We start from the raw sequence: 13,752 nt of genomic DNA, 5'->3' as shown, positions 1-13,752 counted from the left end.
ATGAATTTTTGTAATATTGTAATGTCCTAGTTTTGGAGACAAAATTACACTAGCCTCGTGTGTGAGGCATCTTTCAGTTTTCTTATTTTCTGGAACAGCTAGTTTAAGACAGGAATTGACTCCATGTAGGTCTGAAGTAACTGTCATAAAATTACATGGGTCTGTGGGGTTTCTTCTAGAAAATGAAGTCATTACCAGTTCAATTCAAAGATTTTTTTTCTTGGAATATGTATTCCATAAATTTGCTCCCCACTTCCAAATTTTTTTCTATTCAGCTGTCTGTTTCATCTTGTACCAATTTTCTCATGTTATATTTTTCTCAGAACATATACATTTTATCTAAAATGATTCATGATACATTTATTATTTTTGAATGTTATTTTTGATTGGCAAATCCTAATTGTACATTTATGAGTACAGTGTGATGTTTCAATTCATGAATGCAAAGTGGAATGATTGAATCAAGTAAATTAACATCCATTACCTTGATTAACTCTCATTTGTTACTTGAAATTTACTCTTAAGTTGGTGCAAAAGTGATTGCGGTTTTTGCCATTACTTTTAATGGCAGAACCACAATCACTTTTGCACCAAACTAATAGTTATTTTAAAATATAGGTCACCCTGCTATGCACTGTATCTCAAAACCTATTCCTCCTGTCTCAACCTTCGTATCCTTTGCACCAAATTGTTATTTTAAAATATAGGTCACCCTACTATGTAGTATATCTCAAAACCTATTCCTCCTATCTCAATCTTCATATCCTTTGACCAACAACTTACTATTTCCTTCTTCCTGCCTTACCTTCTCCGAGTGTCTGGTTACCATCACTCTACTACTGGTTCTTTTAGTTCAACTTTTTTAGATTCTACATATAAGTGAGATCATGCCGTATTTGTCTTTCTGTGCCTGGATTATTTCACTTAGCATGATATCCTCTAGATTCATCTGAGTTGTTGCAGATGACAGGTCCCTCCCGCTTCTCTCTCTCTCTCTCTCCCCACTCTTCCTTAATCCCCTTCCCCTCCCCTCCCTGCCTCCCTTCCCTTCCCCTCCCCCTCTTTTTCTACCTCCCCTTCCCTCCCTCTTTTTTCCTTCCTTCTCTCCCTTCGTCCCTCCCTCCTTCCCTTCCTTCCTTCCTTCTTTCCTTTTTTTCTTTCCTTCCTTTCTTTCTCTTTCTCTCTCTTTTTTTTTTTCTTTGAAAGGGTGTCACTCTGTTGCCCAGGCTGGAGTACAGTGCCATGCTCACAACTCACTGCAGTCTCAACTTCCTGGGCTCAGGCAATCCTCCCACCACAGCCTCCAAGTGGCTGGGACTACAGTTGTGTGCTCACCACACCAGGCTAATTTTTAAAATTTTATGTAGAGATGGAGTCTTACTGTGTTGCCCAGGCTGGTTTTGAATATCTGGGCTCAAGCAGTCCTCCAGCCTTGGCCTCCCGAAGTGCTGGGATTATAGGCATGAGCCACCACTCCCCATCCTCCCGCTTTTCAAGGCTGAATAGTATTCCATTGTTTATATATACCATGTTTTCTTTATCCATTCATCTATTGATGGATACTTAGGTTGATTCCATATCTGGCTATTGTAAGTAATGCTGTAGTAAGCATGGGCATGCAGATATCCTTTTGACATTGATTTCAGTTCCTTTGGATATATACCCAGAAGTGTGATTACTAGATTATATGGTAATTCTATTTTTAGTTTTTTGAGGAACCTCTTTACCATTTTCCATAATGGCTATACTAATTGACACCCCCACAGCAATGTACAGGACTCCCATTTTTTCTGTATCCTTGGCAATACTTATCTTTCATCTTTTTAATAGTAGCCATTTGTTAGGTGTTAGCCAATAGCCAGGTGTTACGTGATATATACTTGTTTTAATTTTCATTTCCCTAATGAGTAGTGATGCTGAACATTTTCTCATGTACCTGTTGGCCATTTGTATGTGTTCTTTTGAGAAATGTCTGTTCAGGTCCTTTGCCCATTTTTTAATCAGGTTGTTTTCTTGCTGTTTATTTGGGTTCCATATATATTTTGGATATTAAATATTTTCTCCCATTCTGTGGGTTGTCTCTTTACTTTGTTAATATTTTCATTTGCCGTAAGGAGCTTGGTGGTTTAGCCATCCCATTTGTCTATTACTGCTTTTGTTGCCTATGCTTTCAGGGTCATATCCAAAAAGTTATTGCCCACATGGAACTTTCTCCCTATGTTTTATTCTAGTAGTTTTATAGTTTGACATCCGAAACATAAGACTTTCATCTATTTTGAATTGATTTTTTGTGTTATGTGAGACAAGGGTATGATTTTATTCTTGTGCATATGGATATACAGTTTTTTCAGTGCCATTTATTGAGGAGACAGTTCTTTACCCATTGTGTTTTCTTGGCATCTTTGTTATAAATCAACTTAGTGTAAATGCGTGAGTTCATTCCTGTTCCATTGGTCGATGTGTCTTCTTGTTTTTTGAGCCAGGGTGGTATTTGTAGCCCAGGCTGGAGTGCGGTGGTGTGATCTTGGCTTTCTGCAACCTCTGTCTTCTGAGCTGGAGCCGTCCACCCACCTCAGCCTCTTGAGTACCTGGGACTACAGGTGTTCACTACCACCCCTGGCTTATTTTCGTATTTTTAGTAGAGACGGGGTTTCACCATGTTGCCCAGGCTGGTTTCAGACTCTGGGCTCAAGCAGTCTGCCTGCCTCAGCCTACCCAAGTGCTGGCATTACAAGTGTGAACCACCATGCCTGTCCAGATGTATGGTTTTTTTTTTTTTGGTGCCAGTACCATACTATTTTGATTACAATCATTTTGTAATGTTTTGAAATCAGACAGGGTGATGCATCCAGCATTGTTCTTTTTGCTCAAGGTTGTTTCGGCTGTTTGATGTCTTCTGTGCTTCCATATAAATTTAAGGATAATTTATTTCTGTGAAAATTGACATTGGAATTTCGATAGATATTGCATTGAATCTGTAGATCACTTTGGGTAGTATGGACAGTTAGTTTCACAGTATTAATTCTTCCAGTCCATGAACATAGGATATCTTCCCATTTCTTGATGTTTTCTTAAATTTCTTTTGTGAGTTTTATGGTTTTCAGTATACAGGTCTTTTACCTCCCTGGTTGAAATTACACCTAAGTATTTAATTTTTTTGTTGCTATTGTAAATGGGATTATTACATTAATTTTCTTTTAGGATCGTTTGCTGTTAGTATATAGAAATGCTACTGATTTTTGTATATTTACTTTGTATCCTGCTACTTTATCAAATTTGTTTATTAGTTCTAACAGTTTTTTGGTGGAGTCTTTAGGGTTTTCCATATATAAGATCATGCCATCAGCAAATAAAGACAGTTTCACTTCTTCCTTTCCTACTGGGATCCCTTATGTCTTTCTCTTGACCATATTGCTCTGCCTAGGACTTCCAGTAATATATTGAAATTTTTATATTCAGTATTTTATATTTTATATCAATTTTATATTCAGTATTTTCATTATGATTTTATTTCACATATTGGGATTTCCATTTTAAGTGAAAGATTCTTAAACAATATCTTTTCTAGTTTCCAAATTTATTTATTTATTTATTTATTTATTTTCTTGAAAGGGAGTCTTGCTCTGTTGCCCAGGCTATGCAATGGTGCGATCTTGGCTCACTGGAACCACCACCTCCTAGGTTCAAGCGATTCTCCTGCCTCAGCCTCCTGAGTAGCTGGGACTACAGGCGTGTGCCACCATACCCAGCTAACTTTTGTATTTTTAGTAGAGACGGGGTTTCGCCATGTTGGTCAGGCTGGTCTCAAACTGCTGACCTCAGGTGATCCACCTGCCTCAGCCTCCTAAAGTGTTGGAATTATAGGCATGAGCCACTGCACCTGGCCAGAAGATTTTAAGTTATCCATTTATTATACATTTTTAGTTTTACTGCATTATTGTCAGAGAATGTTGCCTGCATGATGTTGGTCACTTGCTATGTATCATGTATTCTTTTATGGCCTACTATGTAATCCACTCTTGAAATATTTTAATATACTTGAAAAGAATGTGAACCGTTAGTTGTAGATAGAGCTGAATATAGTATCTCAAACTAATTTATTATGCTCAGGTAATTAATAAATAATGAACAATAAAGATGTTCAATACTTAATTTTTATTGGTTTGACATAGTATTTTCTGAGAAAAATAATTAAAATCTTCCACTGTTGTTGATTTAATTTTTTTAGTCTTCCAGTTTTGTTCTGAGAAACTCAGGTTGAGTTTCTCCTATCCAAAATGCTTGGGACAGGCCAGGTGTGGTGGTTCATGCCTGTAATTCCATCACTTTAGGTGGCCAAGGCAGGTGGATCACCTGAGGCCAGGAGTTTGAGACCAGCCTGGCCACCATGGCAAAACTCCGTCTCTACTAAAAATACAAAAATTAGCTAGATGTTGTGGCGTGTGCCTGTAGTCCCAGCTACTCGGGAGGCTGAGGCAGGAGAATTGCTTGAACCCAGGAGGTGGAGGTTACAGTGAGCCAAGACCGTACCATTGCACTCCAGCCTGGACAACGGAGTGAGACTCCATCTCAAAAAAAACAAAAACAAAATGTTTGGGACCAGATGTGTTTTGGATTTTGGATTTTTTTTGGATTTTGGAATATTTGCACATACATAATAAGATATTTTGGGGATGGGAGACATGTATAAACATGAAATTTGTAGGGTCCAGCCCCACAGGTTCGGTGGGTTTTCTCCCCGTGTGCGGAGACGAGAGTATAGAAATAAAGACACAAGACAGAGATAAAAGAAAAGACAGCTGGGCCCGGGGGACCACTACCACCAAGACGCGGAGACCGGTAGTGGCCCTGAATGCCAGGCTGCGCAGATATGTATTGGATACAAGACAAAGGGGCAGGGTAAGGAGTGTGAGCCATCTCCAGTGATAGGTAAGGTCACGTGGGTCACATGTCCAGTGGACAGGGAGCCCTTCCCTGCCTGGCAGCTGAGGCAGAGAGAGGGAAAGGGAGAGGGAGAGGGAGAGCTTATGCCATTATTTCTGCTTATCAGAGACTTTTAGTACTTTCACTAATTTTCTACTGCTATCTAAAAGGCAGAGCCAGCTGTACAGGATGAAACATGAAGGCGGACTAGGAGCGTGACCACTGCAGCACGGCATCACAGGCAGACGGTTAGGCCTCTGGATAACTGCGGGCGGGCCTGACTGATGTCAGGCCCTCCACAAGAGGTGGAGGAGTAGAGTCTTCTCTAAACTCTAAAAGAGTTTAGAGACTCCCTTTCCCGGTCTGCTAAGTAGTGGGTGTTTTTCCTTGACACTGACGCTACCGCTAGACCACGGTCCACTTGGCAACAGGTGTCTTCCCAGACGCTGGGACCAAGGACTCCTCTGGTGGCCCTGTCTGGGCATAACAGAAGGCTCGCACTCTTGTCTTCTGGTCACTTCTCACTATGTCCCCTCAGCTCCTATTGCTGTATGGCCTGGTTTTTCCTAGGTTATGATTGTAGAGTGAGGATTATTATAATATTGGAATAAAGAGTAATTGCTACAAACTAATGATTAATGATATTCATGTATAATCATATCTATGATCTATATAACTATTCTTATTTTATATATTTTGTTATACTGGAACAGCTCGTGCCCTTGGTCTCTTGCCTCGGCACCTGGGTGGCTTGCTGCCCACAGAAATTCATTTATGTTTCGTATATACCTTATACACATAGCCTGAAGGTAATTTTATAGAATATTTAAGTAATTTTATGCTTGAAACAAAGTTTATATTAAGTACTTAGGTGTGAAATTTTCTACTTGTGATATCATGTTGGTGCTTAAAAAGTTTTGAATTTCGGAGCATTTCAGATTTTGGATTTTCAGATTGGAGATGCTTAACCATCTCTTTCAGATTCGAGATTCATTTTGAGACCAGATTCATGTTGGTCTGAGTATATGGTTATGATCGATATCTATTATACTATTCATCATTTTGTTAGTGTGTAACATCTTTTTCATCTCTAATGTCATGTTTTCTTTTTGACATAACTTTCATTTTGTCTGATAAAATTATTGCCACTCAAACTTCCTTTTGGTTTATGTTTGCCTGGTATCTTTTTACCTCTTTTCCCATCAACATTTTTGTCCTTGTTTTATATGTCATTTGTGTTTATACTTCCAACATTTTTTGCACCTATTTTTTTTTTTTTTTTTTTTTTGAGATGGAGTCTTGCTCTGTTGCCCAGGTTGGAGGGCAGTGGTGCGATCTCGGCTCACTGCAACCTCTACCTCCCTGGTTCAAACAATTCCCCTGCCTCAGCCTCCCGAGTAGCTGGGATTACAGGCGCACACCATCAATGCCTGGCTAATTTTTTTGTATTTTTAGTAGAGATGGGGAGGGGGTGGGTGGGTGGTGTGTGCTTCACCATGTTGGCCAGAGTGATTTCGAACTGACCTCAGGTGATCTGCCCAACTAGGCCTCCCAAAGTGCTGGGATTACAGGTGTGTGCCACCACACCCAGCTGCACCCAATTGTTAGATCTAATTTTAATCTAATCTCAAAAATGGTCTTTTAATTGGTGATTTTTGCCTTTTAATTGGTGGTTTTGGTTTACATTATTGTAATGGCTAGTAAGATTTCGTATGCTATTTTAGAAAATGTTTTTTAGTCACTGTATATATGTTTTTTCTTTCTTTTATTTGTTTTTGAGGTGGAGTCTTGCTCTGTCGCCTAGGCTGGAGTGCAGTGGCACGATCTCAGTTCATTGCAACCTCCGCCTCCTGGGTTTAAGTGATTCTCCTGCCTCAGCCTCCCGAGTAGCTTGGATTACGGGCGCCTGCCACCATGCCTGGCTAATTTTTGTATTTTTAGTAGAGACGGGGTTTCACCATGTTGGCTGGGCTGGTCTCGAACTCCAGACCTGTGATCTGCCCGTCTCGGCCTCCCAAAGTGCTGGGATTACAGGTGTGAGCCACCATGCCCATCCTCTTTTTCTTTTTAAAATACAGGCAGGGTCTCACTATGTTGCCCAGGCTGGTCTCAAAATCCTGGGGTTAAGCAATCCTCCTGCCTTGACCTCCCAAAGCACTGGGGTTGCAGTGTGAGCCACTGTTCCTGGCTGAGTTGCTGTAGTGCGTGACATCTAATGAGGTACATGAAGAGGAGCCTTTGTGTGGGTTAGAATTCCCCTGTCTTTGGTCACAGGTGTTAACATAGTCTCACTGTGTTTCACACTTGGCTTCTAGCAATTTCTTAAAAATTTTTACTGAGTTCTTATCACCCTGCTGGTATGATATCAGTGGCCTCTTCCTCAGAGGTGCTATTGTCACATTTCTTTATGGAAGTGTCTTTCATTTGGTGGTGAGTTGGTTGCCTTGTGATTTCTGCCCTCTGATGGGTTTCAGAAAAGTGAATTTGCAGATTCTCTGGTTGGGTTATGTTGTGTGGTTGGGCACAATGTTGTTTGCAGCTTTCTACAGCCAGACCAAAAGCTAGAAATTTCCCTTGACCTCGTATTAAAAAAAAGTCAACAATAAATTACTCTGAGGTGTTTGACCTCCCTTACTTCATACAACCTTTTCTAATTCTTTAATAATTTAAGTACTTCTCTAAAAGTATTTTCATTTTTGATCTGTTGTCTGGCAAAATTTCTGAGGTCTTCTAAGCCAGAGAGTAATTTTATTATACCTTCACATTTAAGCGATAGTTTTGAATATAAAATTGAATGCTAAGGTATTTTTCTGCAATAGCTTTAAAATATTGCTCCATTTTCTAATCAGTGCTGTTACAATCAATGTTGATAAGACTAATGTCAATCTGATTGTTGCTTCTCATGGGTAGTGTTTCTAGGGGAAGAAACAAACCAGAAATGGGATATGGTGAAATAAATGTAAGCTTAATAGCTCAGAGAACATTACAAATAAGGGGATAGTAAGATACTGGCAAAGCATAAGGTGGTGGTCTCTTTTTGGAAAGAAGAAATTTTCTTTTTCAACTTGACTTGATTTTTTTTTTTGAAATTACACTACATTTAATTTGTGTATGTCTCGGTACCAGCAGACAACATAGTTTCTCATGAACTTGAAATAGGTAATTTATTACAAAAACAAAGCTAATTTTGATAAAAGTAATTAGTTGAGAGTCCAATATGATTTAAACCTAAGTTTTAAAAAGTCACCTCAAAAGGCTATAGGTTAGTTCTATCACCTGGTAATGCAAGATATGTAAGATCATGGGGTAAATACTGTAGAGGTAACTTTAATGCCCAAGAAGGAGGATTTGGGTATAGCAGCAGTAAATATCTTGTGAAGTGTAAATATAATCAAGAGGAAGCAGTCCTTTTAATTTCATTCTTTCTAAGATCTCTTAGTAAGTGTATATTCTATATATGTATATTGATTGTTGTCTCTTAATTTTTTAATGTTTTCTCCTTTTTTATTAATAGACTTAGAGCATTTTTAGGTTTACACAAAAATTGAGCTCATTCTCCCACCTCTACCCCCAGCAGTTTCCCTCATGATTAGTATTGTGTGCTGTGTTACAGTTGGTAAACCAATATGGATACATTATTTTTAACTACAGTCCATAGTTTACATTAGGGCTCAGTATCTACCATTATAGTATCATATAAAATGGTTTCACTGGCCTAAAAAATCCCCTTTGCTCCTAATCATCCCTTTCCTTCTTCCAGTTCAGCTCTTCTGCTTCCCTAAAAATCTACTACCACTCAACCCAGGAACTATTTAAGTTTATATTTTTATATCTCCCCGTGTGTATGCATGTGTGTGGTATATATATATCATGCATAATGAACGTTCTATCAAGTGGTTAAATAAAACTGTCACCATATGTTTTACAGAACTGTCATACAGTTGGGTGGCTACTAAACTCTACCTTCTTTCCCATTTTTAACTTGCATTTTTTTTGTTTCCTGAGACAGAGTCTTGCTCTGTCACCCAGGCTGGAGTGCAGTGGTTCAATCTCAGCTTACTACAACCTCTACCTCCCGGATACAAGCGAGGTGCCTCAGCCACCCGAGTAGCTGGGATTACAGGGGTGTGCCACCACACCCAGCTAATTTTTGTATTTTTAGTAGAGATGGGGTTTCACCACGTTGGACAGGCTGGTCTCGAACTTCCACCTCCCAGAGTACTGGGATTACAGGCATGAGCCACCGTGCTTGGCCCCCACCTTTAGCTTTCTTACTTGGATTTTTTTCTAGTCAAATATAAAAGAAAATAACTTTTCTAACTGCTAACTAGAATTTTTTGGATTTGATATGTGTACTACTTTTTAAAATGCTATGGAAAAGTAGAATTCCAAATGTATAATTATTAAACTTAATTGTTCTTATGGGTAATCACTGAATAGACTGTAGAAAATAGATTGAAAAGCTTAGCTTGTGCTTTAGACATAATTTAAAAGCACAAGTATCTATAGTTATCGCTTAAAGCAGTTGAATAAAGCTACTTTTCTCCTTCTCTGACTTACATTTCATTTTTACTAGTGAACAGCTCTGCGCTTTTTGTTACTGTGGGGAAAAAAGTTCCTTAGGACAAGGAGACTTAAAACAATTCAGAATAACGCCTGGATTTATCTTGCCATGGAGAAACCAACCTTCTAACAAGAAGGACATTGATGACAACAGCAATGGAACCTATGAGAAAATGCAAAACTCAGCACCACGAAAACAAAGAGGACAGAGAAAGTAAGCAGTTTCGACTTTAAATGTTGGAATAGATTAAGACTGCATATAATTTATTTCCATTATAATGTTTATAAATTTTCAAATGGGATTGTTCTTGTTGAACAGTTTCTCCTGTTCTCCACATTTATGGGATACTCTGACTCACCATTAACCCAATTAATCCAACAAACTATCCTTTTCACAAATTTTTCTTGTTATTTTTTAAAAAGTTTATATTAATTGTATATGAAAGCGGTGTGATCACAAAACTAAACTTTTGGAAGAAAACTTCAAAGAACATAACACAAGCTGAGAGGGAGGGAGTTCATGGAATTTATAAATGGAAATAATGTAATAATAAAACAGATCAATAAAGTCCTTCTTTTGTTTCTCTAAATAAGCTTTTAATTTTAAGAATATAACATAATACAATAGCAAATCCAGAATTGGTTTTCACTACTCATGTCTTTTGTGTCATTCATTCATCAATCCATTCAGTCATTTATTTAATTTATATATAAGTTTGTGTGCTTCAGAAAATGTTGCACTGTCCTATACATTCTTCCCTCCCTCCCTCCCCTGCCTTCCCTCCCAGAAGATGCTTTTTTCTTTTTTAAGGAATTTTTTTTTTGTAATGATGTGTGTATGTCTGTATTCACGGGCACATTGTAATTACCTAAAGGTCTTGTCTGATATAGTTTAAAATATTTTGTACAGTTGTGTTTAAAGACCATATTAATATGGAGACTTGGCTGTGCTGGTTAAGGGAGTAGAAGTTTCTGTAGTTGATGAGAATGTGTAAAAATTAATTTAGCTTGCAAAGCTAACACTGCCTCTTGAGGGTTATGATGTAATCACTCAAGTGCTTATCTGGCTTATATCCAAATTTAAGTACTAAATCATTGTTGTGTTGTACTTATTTGATTGGCTCATTGTTTTGAACTGCTGCCAATGCCTTGAAGACCTGAAGTAGGAAATGAAACAATAAAAAGAGGGAGAATCTTTTAAAAGAATTTAAGGTGGAACAGTTTAAGGAAACTTAGAAGTACTATATTTGGAGAGTTGTGATGTTTTGGAGGCTATAGCTTTTTCTTTAGTTGTCAGTTGAGTACACACATCTTAATAAAATAATCAAAAGGCCAGCAAACTTAAAATGTCTATTAGCAAATTTAATGGAGTGAATCAGGCTGTATCTTATATCCTCATGTTCTGCCTTAAATAATGGCAATTATATAAAATCCTCTCCTGAGAAATGGAATTGGTTTCATTTCCTTGTTTTAAAAGTGAAATTAATTTTTAGTGAAAATTCTTATGAGCTCAGATAATTATATAAAAATAGCCTTTGTTAAACGAAAGTCTTTATATATACTTAGTGCTTACCAACTTAATAAGTAATGATAATATGGCAGTTAATGAAGTACACTTAAAAATTTGGCATCATTGAAGGGTAGGCAATTAATTTAGCTTGGTAATGATTTCAAATATTTACAAAATGTATGTTGCTAATGAAGTTTAAATAGCTAGTTAATTTAAAAAACAATTTTACAAAGGTTTTGAAAATGTCTTTGCTCATTTTCACTAAATAAAAAAATCAAGAATTTTTTTCCTTTTTTTGTTTTATAACTAAGAATTTTGTGGGTATGCATTTCAGCTGATTCCTCTTGATATCTCTTTCTAAGCTGGGCTGCTGTCATCCTTAGTGTTGACATTGATATCTTACTGATATGGTATATACATACAAACCAGTCTCAAAACTTGAAGGTTGAATTTGATTAAGCTGCTGGTTAGGACCTGATTAGTAATAAATTAGTCATTCTCTTGGTTTTTTTACACCCCTTTCCCTCATCAAATACTAGTGCAAAACAGTATGCTAAAACAACATTTAGTAGTTATAGATGAACTGTTGGTCTTTTTTTTTTCTCCCAATAAAATAACAATGATTTGTAATGGAGCATATATTTGTAGGAATAGAGATTATACTTATAGGAAAGAATTTGTTCTCATTTTACTGTGGGCATTTATTAAAATGAGAATTTAAAGTTAGCATAGCATGCTATACCTTTTAAAAAAAGTCTATGCATTTCTAATGCTGAACATAAAAACATTACTGGTTATTTTTATATGGTTTGATATTTAAATGTACTTATTGAAATATGTTAATACTTTTTTTCTTTCAATGATTCCAGGTATAAAAATGTTTAGTACCCTGGTCATTGTGCTGATTTTCTCTTAATAGGAATCATGATAAATATCCAGCATACAGAAGTGCAGTGAGTTATGATCTATATTCAATAGTGATTTAATCCAGAATTATGATCAGGTTAAATACTATGATATTAGGAGAAGATTTAAGTTTTAGTGGTAGTCATCTGATTTCCCATATTTAATAATTAAGTACAATAGCCATTTTTATTTATTTAATGGTCTTAAATAATACCTAAAGTGTTAGACCTTGAAAGCCTGAAATCTCCCATATGTTGTTTACTTTATTCAATGTTCTTTTTTTAGACTATAGTTTTTGCTGTTATACTATCTTCCTTATTCTACATGCCTTTGGTAGCTATTTTGCTTTTGCTTTTTACTTCCAATTTGTGACATACAGTCTTGATTGAGAGTACTTGCAACGTCATGCCACAGACCAGCTGTTGAGATTTGTTGACGGGACCATAAGAAAGCTACAGCTGATACATTCCATTCCTCCTGCCTCTGTTTTCACACTCTGTAGTGGGTTTTCATTTTCCCTGGAAAATATCCTTTCTTTACACAGTTAACTGCCACCTCTGTTGTGGCAGTCCTCAGTCAAGATACAGCAGACTAAACATTTCTGATTTGATCAAGTTTTGTTTTGTAAGCGTTTAAGTAAAGCCAAAGGAAATACTCAGTTTATGTGTTAAATACAATTCCTGACTAGGATATGAGAGTTGGTTTTAAAAACATTATATTATGGAATGGAAAAACAAATTTACAATTTAATACTTCCCTGTGGGTTTGGAGACTCTTTTTCTTACTTGTTACTTATACGATATAATATGGCAACCCAGTTTAATATTATACCATGGATAATACTAACAGATGAATTCTAAAAGTTGTTTTATGACAGTTAATGGCTGATAAATTAAAATTGATTTGGCAGTACATTGCATTTAAACAGTTAAAAATGAAACAATTTTCTGCTTGTTTTCACTTTCACAGTTATTTTATTTTATTTTCAGAGAACGATCTCCTCAGCAGAATATAGTATCTTGTGTAAGTGTAAGCACCCAGACAGCTTCAGATGATCAAGCTGGTAAACTGTGGGATGAACTCAGTCTGGTTGGGCTTCCAGATGCCATTGATATCCAAGCCTTATTTGATTCTACAGGTATGGGCATGTTTTCAATAATGACTGCCTCTTAATTCTGGAAGCATTTTAATTTTAATACATTATTAATGTCCTCAATAATAAATACCTTTCATCTAGAAATAATTATAATCATACTATAAAAAAATCATTATTAAATATGCCTGGTTAGGTAAAAGAAAAGGTTTATCTATTTAAAATCTGTACAGTACCACCACCGGACTGGATGCTTTTTAAAATACTTGTATTTTTTCTTGTGTAGATAGCGGTGCCATGGAGATCTGACAATTGAGAAAAGAGAAAATTTTAAAGGGGAAAATTTTAAAGTGAGAACTTGGGGAATGTGGCATTCTGAGTCTATTTTATTTGGGCATGAATGAAAATAGGTCTTAGCCGGGTAGATTATCTTATTATAACAGTATTGTAACTCAGCACTCATGATATGGTGCTACTGGAATTTAAAGTACATCTCATTCTGTAGTTGAACTGCAGATTGACTGATAGTGGTTCAAGTGTTATGTGATGGATAATTTAAAGGCTGAAGTGTTAATAATCATTGATACGTGCTCTCACTGTGGGATGAGGGAAGTAGAGGTGTATGTGTAGTTTATTTTCTATACATTTCCTTTGTATATCACCTCAACAAAGTACTAAGTAATACTTTGTTTGCTTTATATAAAGATACCAGAAACATATCAAATACATATATAATATTTAAATAAAATGACTAAAA

General features: G+C 36.6%; 1 protein-coding gene across 1 annotated transcript in view; it reads left to right on the top strand.

Moving 5' to 3' along the window:
* KMT2C (lysine methyltransferase 2C) overlaps window positions 1–13,752 on the top strand; it is a 301,079-nt gene that overhangs the window by 111,166 nt on the left and 176,161 nt on the right. Inside the window, exons 4-5 of the mRNA NM_170606.3 lie at window positions 9,500–9,700; window positions 12,892–13,040. Of these exons, the coding sequence (NP_733751.2) occupies window positions 9,500–9,700; window positions 12,892–13,040 (350 nt within the window). The remainder of the gene's footprint in view (window positions 1–9,499; window positions 9,701–12,891; window positions 13,041–13,752) is intronic.

This window comes from Homo sapiens, chromosome 7, assembly GCF_000001405.40.
Source record: "Homo sapiens chromosome 7, GRCh38.p14 Primary Assembly".
Classification (NCBI taxonomy): Eukaryota; Metazoa; Chordata; class Mammalia; order Primates; family Hominidae; genus Homo; species Homo sapiens.
Note: the sequence above shows the minus strand (reverse complement) of the source record. Positions and strands in the feature narration are given on the sequence as shown.